This window comes from Homo sapiens, chromosome 13 (assembly GCF_000001405.40).
Source record: "Homo sapiens chromosome 13, GRCh38.p14 Primary Assembly".
NCBI lineage: Eukaryota > Metazoa > Chordata > Mammalia > Primates > Hominidae > Homo > Homo sapiens.
Genome location: NC_000013.11, coordinates 93176805 through 93180491, shown reverse-complemented (window position 1 = coordinate 93180491; position 3687 = coordinate 93176805).

Below are 3687 nucleotides of genomic sequence, written 5' to 3'. Positions count from 1 at the left end.
ATTCCAGGAAAGAGTTTGAAAAATGCTTGAGATAAAAAATACTGAGTCAAAACTAAATGCCTTTAATGGGATAATTAGTAGACTGGACATAGCCTTGAAAAGAATCTCTGAGCTTGAGGACAAGTCAATAGAAACTTTCAAAACTGAAAATCTAAGACAAAATAAAAATACTGAAAACCATAACAAAAACCTAGAACAGAATATCCAAGAACTCTGGAAAAACCACAGAGTATATAACATATGAGTAATGGAATAAGAGAAAGAGAAGAGAGAAAAAGACACGGAAGATATACTTGAAGCAATGATAATTGAGAATTTCCTCAACTTCATGTCATATACCAAACTAAAGATCCAGGAAGCTCAGAGAATGCTCTAATAGTGGATACATGTCATCACATGTGTCAACAGCCATAGATTGTAGAATACCAAGCATGAACCCTAATGTAAACCATTGACTTTGGGTAATAATGATGTGTTAATGTAGGTCCATTGAACATAACAAATGTTCCACTCTGGTGGGTGAGGCTGAAGTGGGAAAGATTGCATATGTTGGGGGTGGTGGGGATGGTGCAAATGAAACAATATACCTGCCAAAGGAGGTAAATGGAAACATTAATTTCCCCTCAATTTTGCTGTGAATCTAAAACTGCTCTAAAAGATAAAGTTGACTAAAATTTTTTAAAGTTGATTATCTATATCATAATAGTTTAGAAAATGTATTTTTAAAACTAAGATACCATTTGTAATAGTATCAGTAATACAAAATGGCTAGCAATGTATCTATCAAAATTTGACCAATGGAAAAAAAAAAAACCCAAAGCAAAGAGGCATGAGTAAACTTTTAGAGGTGATGGATACGTCTACCATCTTGATTGTGTTAATGAAACAATGGCACACACATATAGGTATTAGAATGGTAAATTGGTAAAACCACTTTGTAAAAACAGTTTGGCATTGTCTAGCTAATTTGAGTAGTATATATTTAGTGACTAATCAATTTCATTCCTATATCAGAGAAGGTTTTACCCACATGTGCCAGGTCACATATAACAGAATGTAGATAGTGGTATATTTATCTGATTCGATACTAGATCATTGAAGATGAATGGATTGCAATTTGAAGCAAAAAATTGATTTTCAGGAACATAATGCTGCAGAAAGAATTCTACAGAAGACACACAGTATATACACATTAATATAAAGCCAAAACTGTACATAATTAAATAATGTATATGGTTACTTTTGAAGGTTAATGCAATTAAGTGAGATGTCCTGGGATTCACAGGGATTCAAAAGTGATGGTAATTTTCTGTTAATTAAAATTGGTCATGGGTAACTAGGTGCTTGTTTTTTCTTAACTTATGTATATTTCATAAAAATTATTTTGTATATCTTCAATAGTTAATTTAACAATTTATTTTTTAAAAATTGCTGAGAGGTTTTCACTTAGAGGAATCTCAATATATCTACTTATTTTCTAAGGATTACTTTAAAAATTGTCCACAGGCCGGGCATGGTGGCTCATGCCTGTAATCCCAGCACTTTGTAGGCTGAGGCAGGTGGATCATGAGGTCAAGAGATCGAGACCATCCTGGCCAACATGGTGAAACTCCACCTCTACTAAAAATACAAAAATTAGCTGGGTGCGGTGGCACATGCCTGTAGTCTCAGCTACTTGAGAGACTGAGGCAGAAAAATCGCTTGAACCCGAGAGGCGGAGGCTGCAGTGAGCCGAGATTGAGCCACTGTACTCCAGCCTGGGGACAGAACGAGACTCCATCTCAAAAAAATAAAAAATAAAGAAAAAATTATCCACAGTATTTTAAAATATGTACTATATTTTAAAATGCAAAAATTTTAATAGTACTTTTCTGAAAAACTTTTCCCAATATCTGCTTCACTTAGTAGTTTTCCTTTATATACCATCTAGGCTTAATTCTTCGAAATTTTGGAGTACAAATTCACTTATTTCAACCACAATTGAATTCCATGCCTTTTGAAAGCAGTCTGGCCTGAAGACCCTCTTATATGCTTTACCCCTTGCCAGAAGAAATCTTCTCTAAAATTTTTATTTTAGGTTCAAGGGTACATGTGCAGTTTTGCTATTAGGTTGATGCAAAAGTAATTATGGTTTTTGCCAACATTTTTAATTGCAAAAGCCACAGTTACTTTTGTGCCAACCTAATATATAGGTAAATTGCATGTCACAGAGGTTTGGTGTACAGATTGTTTCATCACCAGGTAATAAGCATAGTACCCAATAGGTAGTTTTTCAATCCTCTCTCTCCTACTCTCCACCCTCAAGTAGGCCCTGCTGTCTGTCGTTCTGTTCTTTGTGTCCATATGTACTCAATGCTTTTGTCTAACTTATAAGTGAGAACATGCAGTATTTGGTGTTCTGTTTCTGCATTAGTTTGCTTAGGATAAAGGCCTCCAGCTCTATCCATGTTATTGCAAAGGACATTATTTCACTCCTTTTTATGGCTGCAGGACATTCCATGGTGTATCTATACCAGTTTCTTTACCAGTATACAATTGATGGGCATTTAGGTTGATTCCATGTCTTCTCTATTGTGAATAGTACTGTGATAAACATATGTGGGCATGCATATGTCTTTATGGTAGAACAATTTATATTCCTTTCAGCATATACCCAGTAATGCGATTGCTGGGTTGAATGGTAAATCTGTTTTGAGTTCGCTGAGAAATCACCACACTGTTTTCTACAACGGCTGAACTTTTTTTCTACAACCTCACTAGCATCTATTACTTTTTGACTTTTTAATAATAGCCATTCTGACTGGCATGAGATGGTAGCTTATTGTGGCTTTGATTTGCATTTCTCTAATGATTAGTGATGTTGACCATTTTTTCATACGCTTGTTGGTCGTGTGTATGTCTTCTTTTGAAAAGTGTCTGTTCATGTCTTTTGCCAACATTTTAATGAGGTTGCTTGTTTTTGGCTTGTAAATTTGTTTACGTTCCTTACAGATTTTTGATACTAGATCTTTGTTGGATGCATAATTTGCAAAAAAATTCTCCCATTCTGTAGGTTGTCTGTTTACTGTGTTGATAGTTTTTTTTGCTGTGCAGAAGCTCTTTAGTTTAATTAGGTCCCATTTGTCAATTTTTGTTTTTGTCGTAATTGCTTTTTGTCATGAAATCTTCACCAAGATATACGCAGAATGGTATTTCCTAGGTTATCTTCCAGGTTTTTATGTTTTACGTTTAAGCCTTTATTCCATCTTGAGTTGATTTTTGTATGTGGTGTATTATGTAAAGGGCTCAGTTTCAATCTTTTGCATATGTGTAGATGGTTATCTTAGCCCTATTTATTAAATAGAGAGTCTTTTTTGTATTGTCTGTTTCTGTCGACTTTATCAAAGAACAGGTGGTTCTAGGTATGTGGCATTACTTCTGAGCTGTCTATTCTGTTCCATTGGTCTATGTGTCTGTTTTTGTACTAGTACTGTAATGTTTTGGTTACTGTAGCCTCGTAGTACAGTTTGAAATTGGGTAACATGATGCCTTCAGCTTCGTTATTTTTGCTTAGGATTGCCTTAGCTATTTGGGCTCTTTTTTCTTTCCACATGAATTTTAAAATAGTTTTTTTCTAATACTGTGAAGAATGTCATTGGTAGATTGACAGGAATAGCATTGAATCTGGAGATTGCTCTGAGACATATG